The sequence below is a fragment of the Homo sapiens genome, chromosome 12 (genome assembly GCF_000001405.40).
Source record: "Homo sapiens chromosome 12, GRCh38.p14 Primary Assembly".
NCBI lineage: Eukaryota > Metazoa > Chordata > Mammalia > Primates > Hominidae > Homo > Homo sapiens.
Genome location: NC_000012.12, coordinates 12,424,298 through 12,442,296, shown reverse-complemented (window position 1 = coordinate 12,442,296; position 17,999 = coordinate 12,424,298). Strand labels below are relative to the sequence as shown.

The following is a 17,999-nucleotide window of genomic DNA, read 5'->3' as shown; positions in this document are numbered from 1 at the left end:
AATAAGACCCAGGGCAGTGACAAGAGAAGCTCCAAAAGTCTGTGCTGCAACTTGTTCTAATCTATGAACACATTTACCCACTGACAGCAACTAGAATGAGGCAGAAGTAAGACCCAGGGAAGTGACAAGAGAAGCTCCAAAAGTCTGTGCTGCATCTTCCTGGGGCTGCGTATTTGCCACCAGCCTCATCCCTCGCCCCCAGGGAAACCACACCTGGGGAGGAAGCACACTCCTTTCTGGTTGGCTTTTCAGTTACCCCACATTTCAATGATAGATGTAACCTAAAACTAAGTGTCTGTCAACTTGAATCCTTAACTAGAAATGAGGCAATATACAGGAAATCCCCCAAATCAGAGGCAGCCATGTATCCACAGCCTAGAAGCCAAGGACTAATGGTTTGCCACCATCCAGCTTCACATTTCTCAAGACCCATGTTCCCCAGGCACGAGTATGCTATCCACAAAGCAGAATAAACAGTTAAATTCACTACAGAAATTCCAAAAACTACATATTCATGGCATGAAAGAAATCCTGCAGGGTTTGAAGGAAACCACAGTGGGCTTAAAAAAAAAAAAATTTTTTTTTTGCCTTGCCTCTATTTAGTGCTTATACTTGGGTTGTTAAGAGCAGAACTTAAAATGGGGCAATATTTAGACAGCTGCTGGTATCAAGTAATTTCAAATGGGCCAATTCATGGCAATTAGGATAGGCCTTTCTCCTTAGTCATCATTTATATTTAAAGCAATAACAAAGAGCTAACACTACAGTGTCTACTACATGGCAGGCGTGGTCCCTAGAACTGTACCAAGAATAACTCATTGAACCCTCACGAAAACCTGAGGTGGATGTCATTCTGTTCTCACTGAACAGAAAAGGAAACTGAGGCTCAGAAGAATTAAGGGACTTGCCTGAGGTCACACAGGTAGTCAGAGATGGAGCCAGGATTGAACCTTGGCAGTGTGGCTCTGGAGTTTACGCTCAGAACCATTCTGCCAAATTGTCTGCAAATACAAAGAGCAAATACAAGTTGCCCTGCCTCAGCTGAGCCCTCAATGCCTAATGGCACTCATTACTGTACCCAGTCACCATGACCACTCAACAAATGACCTCCCTCTTCTCCACAGAGGATACAAGCTGCTGGGTGTGACCGATCTGTGCCAGGGACCCTCCTGTCATAAACTTGCCTGCGTCCTCCCTGTTCTCTCAGAACAGATGTCCCACAAGGCTCCAACTCTTGCCTCCTCAGGGATCTTGCTCTAAGAATCCCCCTTTCTCCTTCATCTTTGATCTTGTCTCATCTGCCTCTTCCCCCTCATCCTGTAAACATGTTCAAGTGCACCACCTGCATAACAAAAAATCCCCTTTGATCTTCATCCACTTTTAACTTAATTTTGGCCACTACCTCACTGTGTGACCTGGGCGAAGTGCTTACTTTCTGTAAAAGCCTTTAATTTCTGCATCTGAATAATGAGAGCACTGGACCAGAGGGTCTCTAAGGTCCTTCCAATTCCAACATTCTGTGGTTCTTAATGCAGAGATTTCTCTGAGCAAGCTCACTGAAACTCAGGCCAGTTTCTTCAGTGTCCCTGAAGCCCCAAAGTTAATTTTCTTCTAAGACTGTCAAGCTGTTCCCCTGCAGCAATGCCCCCCTCTTCCTCTCATTTCCCAAATCCTGGTTTTTTTTTTTTTTTCAAAGACCTAGCTTAAACCCCGTCTGCTCCAGGATATCCCAATCTTTAACTCTTACAGAACTTTAGTTATAAATAACAAATGAGCATTCCCCTTCAACAGTGCCTTTTTCATATTTCTGTTCTGTATATCTTCATTCCCTCAGCGAGGCTAAACTCTCAAAGAGCAAGGACCATGTTACATGTCTCTGGAACCCCCAAAGGACCTCCCCACTAGGTGGGTCTGCAATAGCTGCTCAACAGTGCTGGCTGAGGGGTCAGCCTATCGCCATTAAAGAAACTAGTAGTTAAGGTATGTCACTAGACTCCCTGATTGCAAAGTAAATTACCTCCGTTCTTCTCCCTCACATACACAAATCTATAAACATAAGCTTTTCATTCAAGAGCATCATCCAAATTTAACATAAGGAAAGCTGAGCTAACTCTCTGATTTTCCTTTATCTGAATCAGAAATAGTTATAGCCATGTTTCCCTTTGATCCAGACTTAAGTGATCACAGGTACTGTAATCTTAGGGACCTCTAGTTGATCCCGGTTATATACTTCCACTAACACATATTCTCCATGGTTATTAAGTTCCCTCACTTGTCAACACATAGCATTATGTTACTTCCTCATCTTTCCAACCAAATTTCCAGGAAACATCTGGAATAATATCAGAGAGTTGGTGTTTGATCAAAATGACATCCTCTGCTTTACTCATTTGGAAGTGACTAATTTCAACCCTTAGGTCTGAGGTGAACATAGACGGACGGATATGATTCAGGAGTTTGCTAACACTCACCAACAGAGATAAGACGGACACATTACGCCACCAATGAAAGCCCCAAAACTGCACTCACCTCCTCTGCCCGAGCACGCTGCTGAGGTATTGCTCAGTACTGTGAGTGCTGGTCTCTGTTTTGCAATAATCCTGGGTAATTACTGACTATTCAAAGTGAATCCCAAAGTTCTTCAAACAGAATTTTAAACTGTTTATTTTATTTTTTGAGACAGGGTCTTGCTCTGTAGCCCAGACTGGAGTGGAGATCTCGGCTCACCGCAACCTCTGCCTCCTGAGCTCAAACCATCTTCTCACCTCCCAAGTAGCTGGGACTACAGGCACGCACCACCATGCCTGTTTGTTTTTTTTCTTGGTCTTTTTTGTAGAGATGGGGTTTCACCATGTTGCCCAGGCTGGTCTTGAACTCCTGGGCTCAAACAATCCACCTGCCTTGGCCTCCGAAAGTGCTGGGATTACAGGCATGAGCCATGTCGCCCGCCAAAGTCAGTTTATTTTTAAATGAATGCTCCAAAACACTGGTTCTCCCCTGGTTACATACTAGAATCACCTAGAGCACCTTCATAAATACCAATACCCAACATCCCACCGCCCTAACCCTATCACCCTTCAAAGATTTTGATCTAATCGGTTCGGAGTGAGACCCAGACATCAGAATTTTCTTAACAGCACCTCAGCTATGCTGAATGAATTAAGGTATCATTGTTAAATATTTTAGGTATAACAGCATTATAACTACATCTTTCAAAACGACTCAGTCATTCATTCGTGGAATTACTGGTAAAATTCAAAATAAGGCCTCCATTTAATTGCTAGTATTGTACCAAGCTAATTTCCTGGTTTTGATCATTGTACGAAGGTTATGTAAAGTGTTAACTTTAGGGGAAGCTGCATGGGGCAGGGTATATAGGTACTCTCAAATTATTTCTGTGACTTTCCTCCAAGTCTAAAATTAATTCAAATTTAAAAGTTATTTTTTAAAAGAATCCTTCACTTTTAAAGATATATACTTAAATATTTATGAATGAAATAATGTCTGGGGATTTACTATAAAATATACAGTTGAGGGTGGCAGGGAGTGGGGATATGGATAAAACAGGAGTATTTGCAAGCTGATGATTGTAGTGGCTGGTAATGAGTACATTAAGGTTCACTGTGTTACTCCGCCTTCTTTTACCCTGTCTTCTTCAGTATATGTGTAAAATTTCCCATCATATATATTGGAGGAAAAAACTTCCGAGTAATTTTAACATGTAACCAGGGCTGACAAACACTGCTCTGAAGTCTTGAAAATGTGCTATAATGAGAAGCTCTGTCTGGTACTTCCAGCTACAAAACACTTTCCCCAGCTCTCTGATATAGAGCTAGTCAGTTAATCTCTCCGTACCACACTTTACTAAACTGCAAAACAACAGATATGGATTAGAGGTTTTTGTTGTTGTTTTTCGTTTTTTTTTTTTTTTTTTTTGAGATGAAATCTGGCTCTGTCGCCCTGGTTGGAGTGCAGTGACATGATCTGGGCTCACTGTAACCTCCACCTCCCAGGTTCAAGCGATTCTTGTGCCTCAGCCTCCCGAGGAGCTGGGACTACAGGCATGCACCATCACACCTGGCTAATTTTTGTATTTTTAGTAGAGATGGAGTTTCACCATGTTGGCCAGGCTGGTCTTGAACTTAAAGGACTTTTTAAAAAGAATAAGCATCAAAAAGCCAATTTATTATAATTCTAAGATCTCCTCTCTGAGAGTTAATGTCATAGTTAATTAACTTCTAGCACAACTGTAAAAAATGGTAGAGTCTGGCTAGGGGCAGTGGCTCACACCTGTAATCCCAGTGCTTTGGGAGGCAGAGGCGGGAGGATCGCTTGAGCTGAGGAGTTTGAAAACATCCTAGGCAACATAGCCAGGCGTGATGGCATACACCTGTAGTCCTAAGCTACTCAGGAAGCTGAGGTTGGAGAATCGCTTCTGCCCAGCAGTTAGAGGTTGCAACGAGCTATGAATGTTATCACTAAACTCCAGCCTCGGTGACAGCATAAGACTCTGTTTCTAAAAAAATTAAAAAGGTAAAGTCTTATGTCTACAATAGCATTTCCCAAAGAATGTTCTAAAATCACTACTTTATGGGACATTAATAAATGTTACCTAAGATAAGTGTTCTGAGGTCAACTAAGTTTCAAAAGTCTGGCTTTCTTTATTGTGAGACTCCTAAGAACTTTAAGTGAGATAATACGCTTTGTGACTTTCCAAGGGGTGGTGAGGGAATATGCAAATCGTTTGACCTCTTTATATGGGACTAGTTTTGTAGAACTTATTTTAGAAATAGTGCTTAAGACCACTGGTTCCCAAATCCTGGGTAATAGAGGGTGGCATTGTATCATTTGGTAAACTTATGTATTAGTCTGTTCTCACATTGCTAATAAAGACATATCCAAGACTGGGTAATTTATAAAGGAAAGAGGTTTAGTTGACTCACAGTTCCACATGGCTGGGGAGGCATCACAATCACAGCTAAAAGTGAATGAGGAGCAAAGTCACATCTTACATGGCGGCAGGCAAGAGAGCTTGTGTAGGGGAACTCCCCTTTACAAAACTATCAGGTCTCATGAGACTTATTCACTATCATGCGAACAGCATGGGAAAGACCTGCCCCCATGACTCAATTACCTCCCACTGGGTCCCTCCCATGACATGTGGGAATTATGGAAGCTACAATTCAAGAGGAGATTTGGGTAGGGACACAGCCAAACCATAACATCTTATTAAAATAATGATTCACAGACCACACCTAGACTTACTGGGAGGAGGGGAGAACTCAGTATTAAAACAAACAAAAAACTCACATGATGCCAATGAATAGTCATGTTTGGAAAGTAAAGCTTGGTAGACCATAATATAGTAAAATAAGTTTATAATATTTGCAAAGCCACATCAATGAAAAGCAATATCAAAGGTCATGTTTAATAGTTTTCCAAATAATAGTATTTAACCCATGAGAGAAGAGTATATGCATGCAACATTTTATGAAAGCTAAGCACTAAAATGTTGGAGGTGTTGGCAAATTTAAATCTGTCAATATAACTAATGACTGCTTTGTAATCTCAAGGATACACTACCTCCATTGCTAAATACAAATTGTTAATCTGCAGTGATTCTTGCTCCATCACTTGTTTCTCCATGTCCATCTTCTCTCACCAGAGTTAAAGGGCCACTTTGTTAAACAAATCTGGGAGTGCCATTCACAGAAGTGGTTTCTCCAGTAAACAGCTCCTAACATTTCCTTGATATTACAGTACATCAAGGTATCAGGAATATAAAGTTTTTCTTGACTGGAAACTTTGGAAAATGTACTTACTTATTCCTTTATGCCCCTAGAACTGTGCTGTGCAGCAGCTGGTCAATGATACATTTAAGTGCTTAAAGGAAGTACCTATTTACTGAGATTGATAATTACACAACATTTGCATCATGTGCTTCAGTTTACTAAGTACTTTCACATGAATTACATTGCTTCTTTCCTTTAAAAACTTTGCGGGTTAAATAGGCGTAATTGTTTCCATAAAACCATTAAGAATCACTGGAGCTTTTCGTATCAAAGCTCCTGCTTTGAAAGAAATTTTAATCTACTGGGAAACAAAATATAAATTATACACAGGAAACAATTAAAGTCAATTCAAAGACAGAATGGTGGCTAGAGCAAATTAGTATGGCAGGACTTTACATGCACTAATAATAGCTAACACTTACTAAGCAATCTGTCACTCAACCCTTGGGGTAAGTTACTACTATTAGCCCCATTTTTCACATGAGGAAACTGAGACAGAGAAGTTAAGCAACTTGGCCAAGCAAATCAGTGGTGATCAGAATTCAAACTCTAAATTAGCCCAGCTCTGTGGACCACTTTTTTCATCATCACATTTTACTGCTGGGAAAAAGCAATCTCCTCAAAGCAATAGTGACAAATGTCAAGTCTTAAGATGGCATCCAGAGTTGCAGAGAATCACAACAACCAGTCAGCAATGTTATTTTCCCGCAGCACATTACCTCTTTGATTCGTTTAACCAAAGCATTCTGGTCAAAAGCAACGGCCTCTGCACACTGATGCAGGTGATCTTGATATCGGAGGCAGAGCTGCAACACCTGCTGAGAGTCCAGTTTCTCCAATTTGGCATTTGTTGGGGAAGTCTGGCCACTCAATAGCCCTTCAAAGGAGAAAAAAATGAAATGAAATTAAAATTACTGCTAATAAACTTGTGAATAAAGTAGTTTAACAAGTTCACTGAAGACAGGGTAAGACTTCAATTTAATCTTGCATCTTTTGTTATATGTTAATGACAATCGTTGCAATTATTATTTATGGGGCATCTGTTATGTGCCAAGCACTTTTGCTAAGTGCTTCTTGTGCACGATTTTTCGTATTCACAGCTGCCCTGGAAAGTGAGGTATTATTAGCTCCATTTACACAGGAGGAAGCCAAGACACAGAGAAGTTAAGTAACTTTCCAAACGTCACATAGCTAGTAAGTGGTTTCTCCAAGAACAGAGCTCCTGACCTTATCACATCACTTCAAGGTACTAGGAATATAAATCCCTTATTAATTGAAAATGTGGGAATATAATTTTTAAAAATAATTAAAATGGTTGTCTGAAAAACTGAGAAAAAGAAATCAAATGTATACAGAAACTGCTAGGAGATGCTAAAATGGAGACATTTAACAAGTAAACAGACTGTCAGCTAACAGGCCAGAAACTCATTCTTTACATTTTCTTTCAACACCAGCTTAGCCAGGTAACCATTAATCTCCCCTGTATTTGCATAGGGGATTATATTTTTATAGGTATGTAGCAGGGCAATTAATAGCATTTGCAGGAGAAGAAATCAATTGAAGAGGCCAAATGATGCCCACATTCACAAAGCAAAGCCCAGTCTAGAAATTAAGCCTATTGCTTTCTGCCAAATCAACAGTTCTCAATTATCAGAACCTCTACACTCTCAAAAATTACCAAGGACCCCAAAGAGCTTTTATGTGAGTTTTATCTTTTGATATTCACCTATAAAAATTAAAACTGAGAACATTCTTAAATATTAAATCATTTAAATATAATGATAACCCCTTTATACATTAACAAAAATAACATTTTAAGGAAAATATTCTTCCAAACCAAAAAAGTGAAATGATGCCACTGGTTTATTTTTATTAATGTCTTTTTAATGTCTGCCTTAATAGAAAACAGCTGGAATATCATAGCTGCTTCTGCATTTAATCTGTTGCTATTTCACATCATTTAGCCTCTGGAAAACTCCACTGGACACTTCTGTAAGAGAATGAGCATGTTTTGCAAATAATGTCTAAGTATTATTACAAACATAGTTTTGACCTCAGAGATTCCCTAGCAGGGTCTTGGGGATCCCAGTGATCGCCCTACCACATGCCAGACCATTCTGTCTCACAGCAGAGCCAATGCTACAGCACAAGGAACACAGAATACATATGACAGTAGGTCACGTGCAGGGCACAGCAAAGCTTTTTTTTTTTTTTTTTTTTTTTGAGACAGAGTCTTGCTCTGTTGCCCATCTGGAGTGCAGTGGCGTGATCTTAGCTCACTGCAACCTCGACCTCCTGGACCCAAGCAATCTTCCTACCTCAGCCTCCAGAGTAGCTGAGGCCACAGGCACTTGTTACCACAGCCAGCTAGTTTTTGTATTTTTAGTAGAGACAGGGTTTTGCTGCCCAGGTTGGTCTCGAACTTCTGGGCTCAAGCGATCCTCCCGCCTCAGTGTAAGCCACCTCACCTGGCCAAAGCTCATCTTGGGAACCCTTCCTCACCGACCCCAACCACCAATGTCCACCCCTCACTGTCCCCAACCACCAACATCCACACCACACTGTTCTGATATATTAGAGCTGAAGCCAGTATTCTCTCCCTCCAGACAGGCTGTATGAAGGGCTACCCAGCTAGGTTGTCCCAGAGAATCCTGGGAAATGCTGGTCGATGCTCTCAGATCTTCTGAGACAGAGCAGCATACAGGGCTGGAACCCGAGGCACTGCTAGGCTCCTCCACATTCCACTGCTCAGCTGCTGCACTACAAGTCCTAACACAGGAGAGCACCAGTTACTTGACCTGAACCTGCTTCCAGGCAGTATGTTTTGGTGAATCCAGTATTAGCAGAAATTGGGAATTTTTTAATTGAAATTTTTATTGAGATCCTATGTATAGGATCCCGTGTCCCCTTTACCCAATTTCCCTCAATGGAAACATCTTGTAAAACTATGGTACAATATCACAACCAGGATATTGACATAGATATAATCTGACCTTATTCAGATCCTACCCATCCCTCCCTTTTTTGGTTTAGAGATGGTATCTCCCTCTGTTGCTGAGGCTGGCCTCAAACTCCTAAGCTCAAGAGATCCTCCCACCTTGGCTTCCCAAGTAGCTGGGACTACAGGAGTATGCCGCTGCACCCGGGCAGATTTCCTTTTTTTTTTTTTTTTTTTTTTTTTTGAGACACAGTCTCGCTCTGTCTTCCAGGCTGGAGCACAGTGGAATGATCTCCTCAGCTCACTGAAACCTTGTTCAAGCAATTGAACAAGGCCCCTGAGTAGCTGGGATTACAGGCATGTGCCACCATTCCTGCCTAATTTTTGCATTTTTTAGTAGAGACAGGGTTTCACCATGTTGGCCAGGCTGATCTCAAACTCTTGACCTAAGGTGATCCAGCTGCCTCAGCCTTCCAAAGTGCTGGGATTACAGGCATGAGCCACTGTGCCCAGCCCAGATTTCCTCATTTTATTTGCACTGATTTGTGTCTGTATTTAGTTTTTTTTCCTATACACAAGTTCATGTATTCATCACCATGGTCAGATGCTGAAAAGTTCCATCACCACAAAGAGTTCTTGTGCTGCTTTTGTAACTATACCTACCCCACTCTTTCTCTCATCCCCCTTTCCATCTTTAAAACACTGGCAACCATTAATCCATTCAACATTTCTAAAATTTTGTCCTTTCAAAAGTGTTATATAAATGAAATAATACATGATGTAAGCTTTTAGGATTGAATCTTTTTAGTTGCCCAACATAAAACTTTAGAGATGTGTCTATGTTGTTGATATATCAATGGTTAATTCTTTTTTTATTTCTGAGTAGTATTCCATGGTATATATGTATCAGAGTTTGTTAAACCATTCACCCATTGGAGGACATTTGGACTGTTTCCAGTTTGGGGCTATTACAAACAAGTCTGCTGTGAGCAGTCATGTACAGGTTTTTGTGTAAACATAAGTTTTCATTTCTCTGGGATAAATGCCCAAGAATGCAATTGCTGGGTCATATGGTAATTGCATGTTTAGTTTTATAAGAAACTGTCAGTTTCCCAGAGTGCCTGTACCAAGAAAATGGGAATGCTACAGACCACTAAAATCTCCTAACAAAACTATCAAGGGCTACCCTATCACTGACAAGAAATACATTTCCAGGAACGCAAACTTGGGAGAAGATACCAAAAGCATTTTGCTGTCAATCCGAAATTGAAAGAGGAAAAGAGGAAGGAGGCACCATGGAAAAAGGAATGAACGATTTTGTGCCATTAACAGTGGACCAGGATAATGCAAAAGCCATAAAGGAAACACTGATAAATTCAACAATACAAAAACCAAGACTCCTCATGACAACAAACACAAGTTAAAATTTAAAATACAAAAAGAATACCCAAAATCTGAGGAAAATAAAAAACCTGCAGAGACCCCAGGAAGCCTTTTTCCTCCTATTGTGATAACTCATATCACATAGGGTAAACTTCCTAATATATAAAGAGTGCCTAGAAATTGCAAATAAGGCTGGGCACAGTGGCTCATGCCTATAATTCCAGCACTTTGGGAGGCTGAGGCGGGCAGATCACCTGAGGTCAGGAGTTCAAGACCAGCCTGGCTAACACGGTGAAACCCCATCTCTACTAAAAATACAAAAAGTAGGTGGGTGTGGTGGCATGCACCTGTAGTCCCAGCTACTTGAGAGGCTGAGGCAGAAGAATCTCTCGAACCCGGGAGGCAAAGGCTGAAGTGAGCCAAGATCCAACTCCATCTCTAAAAAAACAAGAAAAGAAATTGGCAAATTAAAAACTAGCAAAAGGGCCAGGCGCAGTGGCTCACGCCTGTAATCCCAGCACTTTGGGAAGCCGAGGCGGGCAGATCACGAGGTCAAGAGATCAAGACCATCCTGGCCAACATGGTGAAACCCCGTCTCTACTAAAAATACAAAAATTAGTTGGGCATGGTGGCAGGCACCTGTATTCCCAGCTACTCAGGAGGCTGAGGCAGGAGAATCGCTTGAACCCGGAGGCGGAGCTTGCAGTGAGCCGCGATCATGCCACCACACTCCAGCCTGCCGACAGAGCAAGACTCCGTCTCAAAAAAAAAAAAAAAAAAGAATTAGCAAAAGAAAGATGAACAAAAGTTATGAAAAGATATTTCACAGAAAAGGAAATACCAATACCTCAACTATAAGAAAAGATGCACAACCTCACTTATAATAAGAAAAACAAATTGAAACTTTACCACAAGCCCATTTTTCACCTGTCAAATTGGTAAAAACGAAAAGCATGAAAAATACTTTGTAGGTGGAGCTGTGAGGAAAGAGGTTTTGCTGCTTAGTGTGTAAGTTGTTAACACCCTATGGAGGAGGGCAATTTGGCATGGATAACAAAATTACAAATGCATAGCCTCTGATGCAACAGCTTCACCACTAGGAATTTACACACACAGTAGCACACAAGCTAAATGATGTATATACAAGAGTATTCATTGCAGCAGTGACTGTAACAGCAAAGGTCAGCAAACACCACAATGTCCCTGAATAGAGGGCCTGTTAATTAAATCAGGGTATATCTATAAATAGTATTACATGAACAAAGAAAAGAATGAGGGCGCTCTCTATGTACTTACATGGAAAAAAACCTCCATAAGATAAAATTTTTAAAAGGTATATAGATGCATAGAGTGTGCTATCATTGCATAAAAATGGGGGTTGGGGTGCAAGTAAACAAGAGTATATGTTCAGATTTACTTATATTTACATAAATAAACTCTGAAATGATATATAAGAATTAGATGGAGGCAAGGGGTAAAGAGGGGGAATTTCATAGTATACTTTTAACAGAACTTTTTTTAACCAAATGAATGCATTTCCCCCTTAAATATTTTTTAAATAAATAAACTCATTTTAACAAAAAGCTGAGGTTTTTCCTCATCTATGAGTAAGAACTTCAGGGCAGTTCTCCCTTCTTCACCCATCCCAAGTGCCCCCTACTCCATAAGTAAAAACCTCATCTTTAATTCTCACCAAAGTTCATATGGCCGAACACATCTTAAAACATTTTATCGGCCAGGCACAGTGGCTCACGCCTGTAATCCCAGCACTTTGGGAGGCCAAGGCAGGCGAATCACGAGGTCAGGAGATCGAGACCACCCTGGCTAACATGGTGAAACCCCGTCTCTACTAAAAATATAAAAAAATTAGCCAGGCGTGGTGGCAGGCGCCTGTAGTCCCAGCTACTCGGGAGGCTGAGGCAGGAGAATGGCGTGAACCCAGGAGGCAGAGCTTGCAGTGAGCCGAGATCTTGCCACTGCACTCCAGCCTGGGTGACAGAGCAAGACTCTGTCTCAAAAAAAAAAAAAAAAATTTTCTCTAAGGTGATTAAAGTGGTATAACAAATGGTGAGCTGGTTGAAGACAGGGACCACGTTTTGCTTATCTTTTTATCTCATGTCTAGTAGAGCACCTAGTACATAAAAGGTTCTTGATTAGGGTACGAGTATGCAGTTCTATTGCTGGAATTCCAAGGAAAGCATAAGTCTAGGAAGATATTAGGAGGAAAAAGGCTTCCCAGGATCTCTGTAGGCTGCATATATGCCTAAGAGCGAGTCCTTGTCTCAGTCTGAATCTGCTCTTCTAAGGTGCATGAGGAAGCTCTCCGGTGCTTCAGAAGACTATTGGGAGCCTGAATCGCAGAATGAAGTGGAGGAAGGCTACAGGGCCAGCCCAAGCTGCCAGGTGGCTGAAGCAGAGGGCCCAGAACCCAACCTTAGCTCACAAAACAAAACTCTCACTTCTACCTCTTGAGAAAAAGGTGGAGGGTGAGGGAAACGAGGGAAGTAGGAGGGGGATTTTGAGAAGGTTGCCAGGTCTAATAGGCACACTAGGATGTTCAAATTAAGTTGCCTAGCCAACTTCAAAATCAAAGGAATTACACTTTAAGTCATTCTTATAAATCACAATTGCAGCCTCCCTCTAACCATCTAAAAACAAAACCCAGGTGCATGACTCTATCCTCAGAATGTGCTTCCTTGACTCATAGGAATCTCCATAAACCCACCGCAAATCCTGCCCCGGGTCATAGCAGGAGCAAGACAGGACAGAGAAAATAAGAAGATGGGCCACATTTTCCATTCCTGAAGCAACAAAGTTGTGGCAACCCAGGCAAATTCTAGAGGCATTGAACACAATGTTTTCCCATCACCCTCTTGTGCCAGGAAACCATCTCCCTCTCGTATTGATAGCTACGCCTCTCCTGGATCTTCTGAAAAGAGGGAGAAGGACAGAAAGCTGGGCAAATTTAGAGACGGTAAATTTTGTCATTTTTAGGAGACCACAAACTTCCAGTCCTCTGAAGTGTTTCATTCTGAATGAGCATTAAGATTTTTTAAATTTTTGGAATGCTTTCAATGAGTTGTGCACTTGCCTGTTTGCTCAGTCCCCACCATCTCCCTCCTGTCCAATGCCCGGCAGCTCCACTCACCCACATTACCTGCCTGGCCTCTGCGGGCTTCTGGATTTATACTCCTATTTTAATTATTTCCTACCAACTCCAATACCATTAATAGAGAATGAACCTTGAAATTATTTTTTGTATAGTTTTATAAATGTTTTTTACACTTAGGATTTTTCTGCTTTACCCTTTATTATGAAAATTTTTAAATGTAGAAAAGTAGGGGAAAAATGTATACCCAAATACCCACCACCTAGATTCAACAACTAATATTTTGTCATATCTACTTCATCTCACTATATAATTTTTTTTCTTTTGCTGAGCCGTTAAAAACACCATAACATCATGACACTTCACTCCTAATACTCCATAAAGAAGAACGTTGATCCACATACTTATGGTTAGTTTTCCATGTTAAAGAGAAGAAGTTTCTAAATTACATGTTCCTTACAGTTAAGCAACAGGGCCATTGCCTTCAGTTTTCTACTTCTTCTTTAGTTTAATACGGGGATGCACCCAAAGATGTTTACTGAGTTAAAAACCTGATCTAACAGATTCCATATATTAAGGGTTAGGTTTGCAAATGGTAAATACTGGAGATATTTCCTAAGACCCTGTTTAAACCACTTTGCTTATACAAAAATGAGGAGTAGGCTCCAGGGAGTGAGTGAAGACCAAGACTGAATATTCCAGAGATCCAGCAAACTACCATCTGTACCTACCTCTTTGTGTAAAATGTTGAGTGGAAAAATCATCAGGGTTAGAAGTGTGGGAAATATTCTGCAGAGTGATCTTTTTCATTCTGAGATGTCAGGTGGGGGGAAACCCACAGTTTCTCTATAGCACAGTGCAGAGCCATATGGCTATTAGCTTAGCCTATTACCAAACCGAATTCCTTAACTCTGAGAGGCTTAGATACTTCTAGGACTAGAAATCAGTATTACAAATATTGGGACACATAACGAGCTCCATTTACTGCTACAGAATCCAGGAAGTAGAAATTAAATATAACTTTGACAAAAGTTACTGTGAAGGTATAATTAAACAACAGATTCTGAAAAAAGAAAATTCCCCCGTATGGACTGAATGTTTGTGTTTCCCCAAATTTCCTATGTTGAAATCCTAATCCCCAGTGTAATGGTATTAGGAGGTGGGGACCTTAGTGGGTGAGTAGATCATGAGTATAGAGGCTTCATGAATGGGACTAGTGTCACTAGAAGAAGAGATGTGAGAGCCTCCCCTCACTCTTTCTGTTCCCAGCCATGTGAGGCCACAGCAAGAAGATAGCCATCTGCAAACCAGGGAGCAGGTCCTCGGCAGAGGCAAATCTGCCGGCACCTTGACCTTGGATTTCCCAGCCACCAGAACTATCAGAGATAAATGCTTGCTGTTTAAGCCACCCGGTTTATGGTATTCTGTTATAGGAGCCCAAATTGACTATGATACCCCCAAAAACAATAAGAAATTTTCGAGTCTATTGGTCATAGTATATTTCAAAGATAAAAGCACTTAAGCTATATGTATCCTTTACTTAAACTCTAGTTCTCAAAGGCACTCCCTTCTCTTCTTAAAGAAAGGGAAAGTCTGGCCGGGCGCGGTGGCTCACGCCTGTAATCCCAGCACTTTGGGAGGCCGAGGCGGGCCCATCACAAGGTCAGGATATCGAGACCATCCTGGCTAACACGGTGAAACCCCATCTCTAGTAAAAATACAAAAAATTAGCTGGGCGTGGTGGCGGGTGCCTGTAGTCCCAGCTACTTGGGAGGCTGAGGCAGAAGAAAGGCGTGAACCTGGAAGGTGGAGCTTGCAGTGAGCCGAGATTGTGCCACCAAACTCCAGCCTGGACGAGAGTGCGAGACTCCCACCTCAAAAAAAAAAAAAAAAAAAAAAAAAGAAAAGAAAGAGAAAGTCTAAAACCATCTTCCCAACTTGGAGAGAATTTTGTGATGTGCGTTAGTGATTGATTCCTTCGGGATACTTAGAAAAAGTGTGCTTTCTAAGGCTGATTCCTTCAGAACATTTATCCCCACCCTGTGACCTCAGAGGAGTGCTAACCTCGAGGGGGCAACGGCAGTCATCATTGCTCTGGTTAAACCATGTGGCAGAAGAAACTGCAAGTGCAGAACAAGCCCCATGTAAGATGCCACCCACCACAATGTTTGGTGAGGATACAAACATTTCTCCCAGGACCTCCGAAACCCACCAGAGGGCAAGACAGAGGAACTTTTTAATGGAGGCAGCATGGAAAAAGCTGAATTCAGCTCCCTTATTTATTAGCTGTGTGAATCTGGACAATTTATCTTACATCTTTGAGCCTCAATTTTCTCATATGTAAAAGCAAGATAATAATCATGTCCCTTCTAGGGTTTGCCTAGCACACAATAGGATTTTGATAAAACTCTGTTCCCTTTATTCTTGCATTTCTTAAGTCTCAGAGAAGTAAAGGGTTCAAGGGAATTTGTGGTAAGCAATGAAAAGCACTTCATCCTTCTGTGTTAGGCACCCATTTGGCCATGGCCAGTGGCCCTAATTTATGGTACCAAAGAAACAAGAACAGAGGATGTCACACCCAAAAGTAGACACAGTATTTCCAAAGGTCATCAGTATCCACAAACGACACACCTCAGTGTCTTCGAGGAATCCTGTTCACTGCTATAAAATTAGCATTTCACAATCTCTACCTTTTCCTCTTGAATAATTAAGTAAAATGGAATAGGCTGTAGTTACCAACTACTTGGTATGCAGAGGTGAGAGGACTGCTTAAGCCTAGAAGTTCAAAGCCAGCCTCGGCAATATAGCACGATTCTCTGTCTCCTATTAAGTAAATGTTCAACTGCTCATCTGCCCTAAACAATTTCCAGGTTCGCAGGCTTGCTCTCTGTTTGAACTTACCAGACTAGGGAAGGGAGACCACATGGTATAATGAAAAAGTTTGGAGTCAGGTAGACCCGGAATTGGAATCCAAGGATTGCCATTTAAAACCTGTGTGATGTTGAGGGAGTCTAAATTTAACTTCCCTTAATTCAAATCCTTCATCTGTAAGTGTGACATATTAAAGGAGTATTATGGGAACTATATAAAGTTATGCCTACCACAGCACCTAGCAAAGAGGAGGCACACAATTCGTGTTAATTTCCTCACTGTCTCAAAGTCCCCAGTCACCAACTGTAGTAGTCAATTAAGCAGGCTTTCAAAAGCTGGCTGTATGACTGGCCTATCCTACCACTATAAGTGTTTACCAGGCACACACTACTATGTACTAGCACTGTAGGAAATAGCAAAGAAATGATCTCATTCCTCAAGCAGATTACCAGAAGAAGCAGGAGTTATTTATAAGGAAGGCAAATATGAAAAGGAGCTAAATTTAAAAAGATAAAACAACAAACCACACAATTGGGCAAAGGATTTAAATAGGCATTTCTCCAAAGGAGATATACAAACAGCCAATAAGCATATGAAGGATGCTCGACATCACTAATCATGAGGGAAATACAAAACACAATGAGATACCACTTAATCATTAGGATGGCTATTATCCAAACAATGGAAAATAACAAGTGTTGGCAAGGATGTTCTCCATATCCTTGGAACCCTTGTGCATTGCTGGTGACAATGTAAAATGGTGCACCTGCTGGGGAAAACAGTATGGGGGTTCCTAAAAAAAGTAACTAAAAAGGGAATTTGGGGAAGACTGTGGTAGGAAGCACCAGGAATTTATCTTCCCAACTAAATAATTGCACTGGTGCACTCTGTCTGATGTAACTATTTTGTAGCTCTAGAGTCTATTGAAGGCTTGCAACATCCAGAGGAAGGCCTGGATGATGAATTATAATTACTTTCAGTCTATTTCAGCTGTCATCATAATAGCACCAGCCATCTCAAAGCTCCCATCCCCACTGCAGGCAGCTACGCACTTATTCCTGGAGTGGCTTGCACACAGTTTGTGGGAGACAGCAGGGGAGAAAAGGACCCTGTCCTCTAAATATGAATCTATGCTCTGATCAATGTTGGCTGCTTCTGATCACAAAGGTGCAGACAGAGACACAGACGGTAATCACTGTTGTTGCACCTCCACCACACTGCTGCAAGGTCTTCCCACTCACGCTGAAGTGACTTTCAGAGGATTAAAGGGGGCAGCATTTTTTTCACCCTCCTTCACTTTTTTCTTTTTCCCTCTCTGGGACCCGGACATTAAAGACCAGGATATTCAAAAGCAACCACATATATAGGGGAAATTAGAAAGTTGCTATGCATGCCCAGGGAAGAGCACAGGCTCAGAAAAGATCTGAGGAGACCTAACATGTATACCTCTGGCTGATTCTTGGCACAGACACATCCTGTAACAATCAAAATACCAAAAATAAACCCAAAAAACAGTAAACCCAGAGAAGGGGGAGAATCTGTTTCCACAGTTACCATATTACTGGATTTAAATGTCCAATTTTCAAAAAAAAAAAAATCACCAGTCATACAAAGAAACAGAAAAGTATGGCTCATTCAAAGGAAAAATATAAACCAACAGATACTGTCCCTGAAAAAAGACAATGGCAAATCCACTAGACAAAGACTTTAAAACAACTGTCTTAAAGATGCTCAAAGAGCTAAAGGAGACATGGAGAAAGCCAAGAAAACAATGTATAAACAAATGGAAAATATCAATAAAGAGACAGAAAACCTAAAAAGAAATGAAAAATAAGTTCTGGAACTGAAATAACTGATACGAAAAATTCAATGCAGGGATTCAAAGGCAGATTTGAGCAGGCAGAAG

At 41.1% G+C, this 17,999-nt stretch overlaps 1 protein-coding gene across 6 annotated transcripts in view, besides 3 other annotated features; it reads right to left on the bottom strand.

The window, feature by feature from the left end:
• The window catches only part of BORCS5 (BLOC-1 related complex subunit 5), a 114,156-nt gene that overhangs the window by 28,937 nt on the left and 67,220 nt on the right, over positions 1-17,999 (bottom strand). For all 6 annotated transcript variants that reach the window (NM_058169.6, NM_001330356.2, XM_011520551.3 and 3 more), the window contains one exon: positions 6,512-6,669. In NM_058169.6, the coding sequence (NP_477517.1) occupies positions 6,512-6,669 (158 nt within the window). The remainder of the gene's footprint in view (positions 1-6,511; positions 6,670-17,999) is intronic.
• Positions 1,922-3,121: an enhancer, noted in NCBI's record as "MED14-independent group 3 enhancer chr12:12592110-12593309 (GRCh37/hg19 assembly coordinates)". NCBI's record gives its function as "activates an origin of replication core promoter dependent on BRD2, BRD4, P300/CBP and CDK7 cofactors, and independent of MED14, by STARR-seq in HCT116 cells {active_cell/tissue: HCT116}" and the evidence as "EXISTENCE:reporter gene assay evidence [ECO:0000049][PMID:35650434]".
• Positions 2,348-2,642: an enhancer, noted in NCBI's record as "tiled region #10190; HepG2 Activating DNase matched - State 5:Enh, and K562 Activating non-DNase unmatched - State 24:Quies". NCBI's record gives its function as "activates a minimal TATA promoter and a strong SV40 promoter by Sharpr-MPRA in HepG2 and K562 cells {active_cell/tissue: HepG2 | K562}" and the evidence as "EXISTENCE:reporter gene assay evidence [ECO:0000049][PMID:27701403]".
• Positions 9,588-9,882: a silencer, noted in NCBI's record as "tiled region #7135; HepG2 Repressive non-DNase unmatched - State 7:EnhWF". NCBI's record gives its function as "represses a minimal TATA promoter and a strong SV40 promoter by Sharpr-MPRA in HepG2 cells {active_cell/tissue: HepG2}" and the evidence as "EXISTENCE:reporter gene assay evidence [ECO:0000049][PMID:27701403]".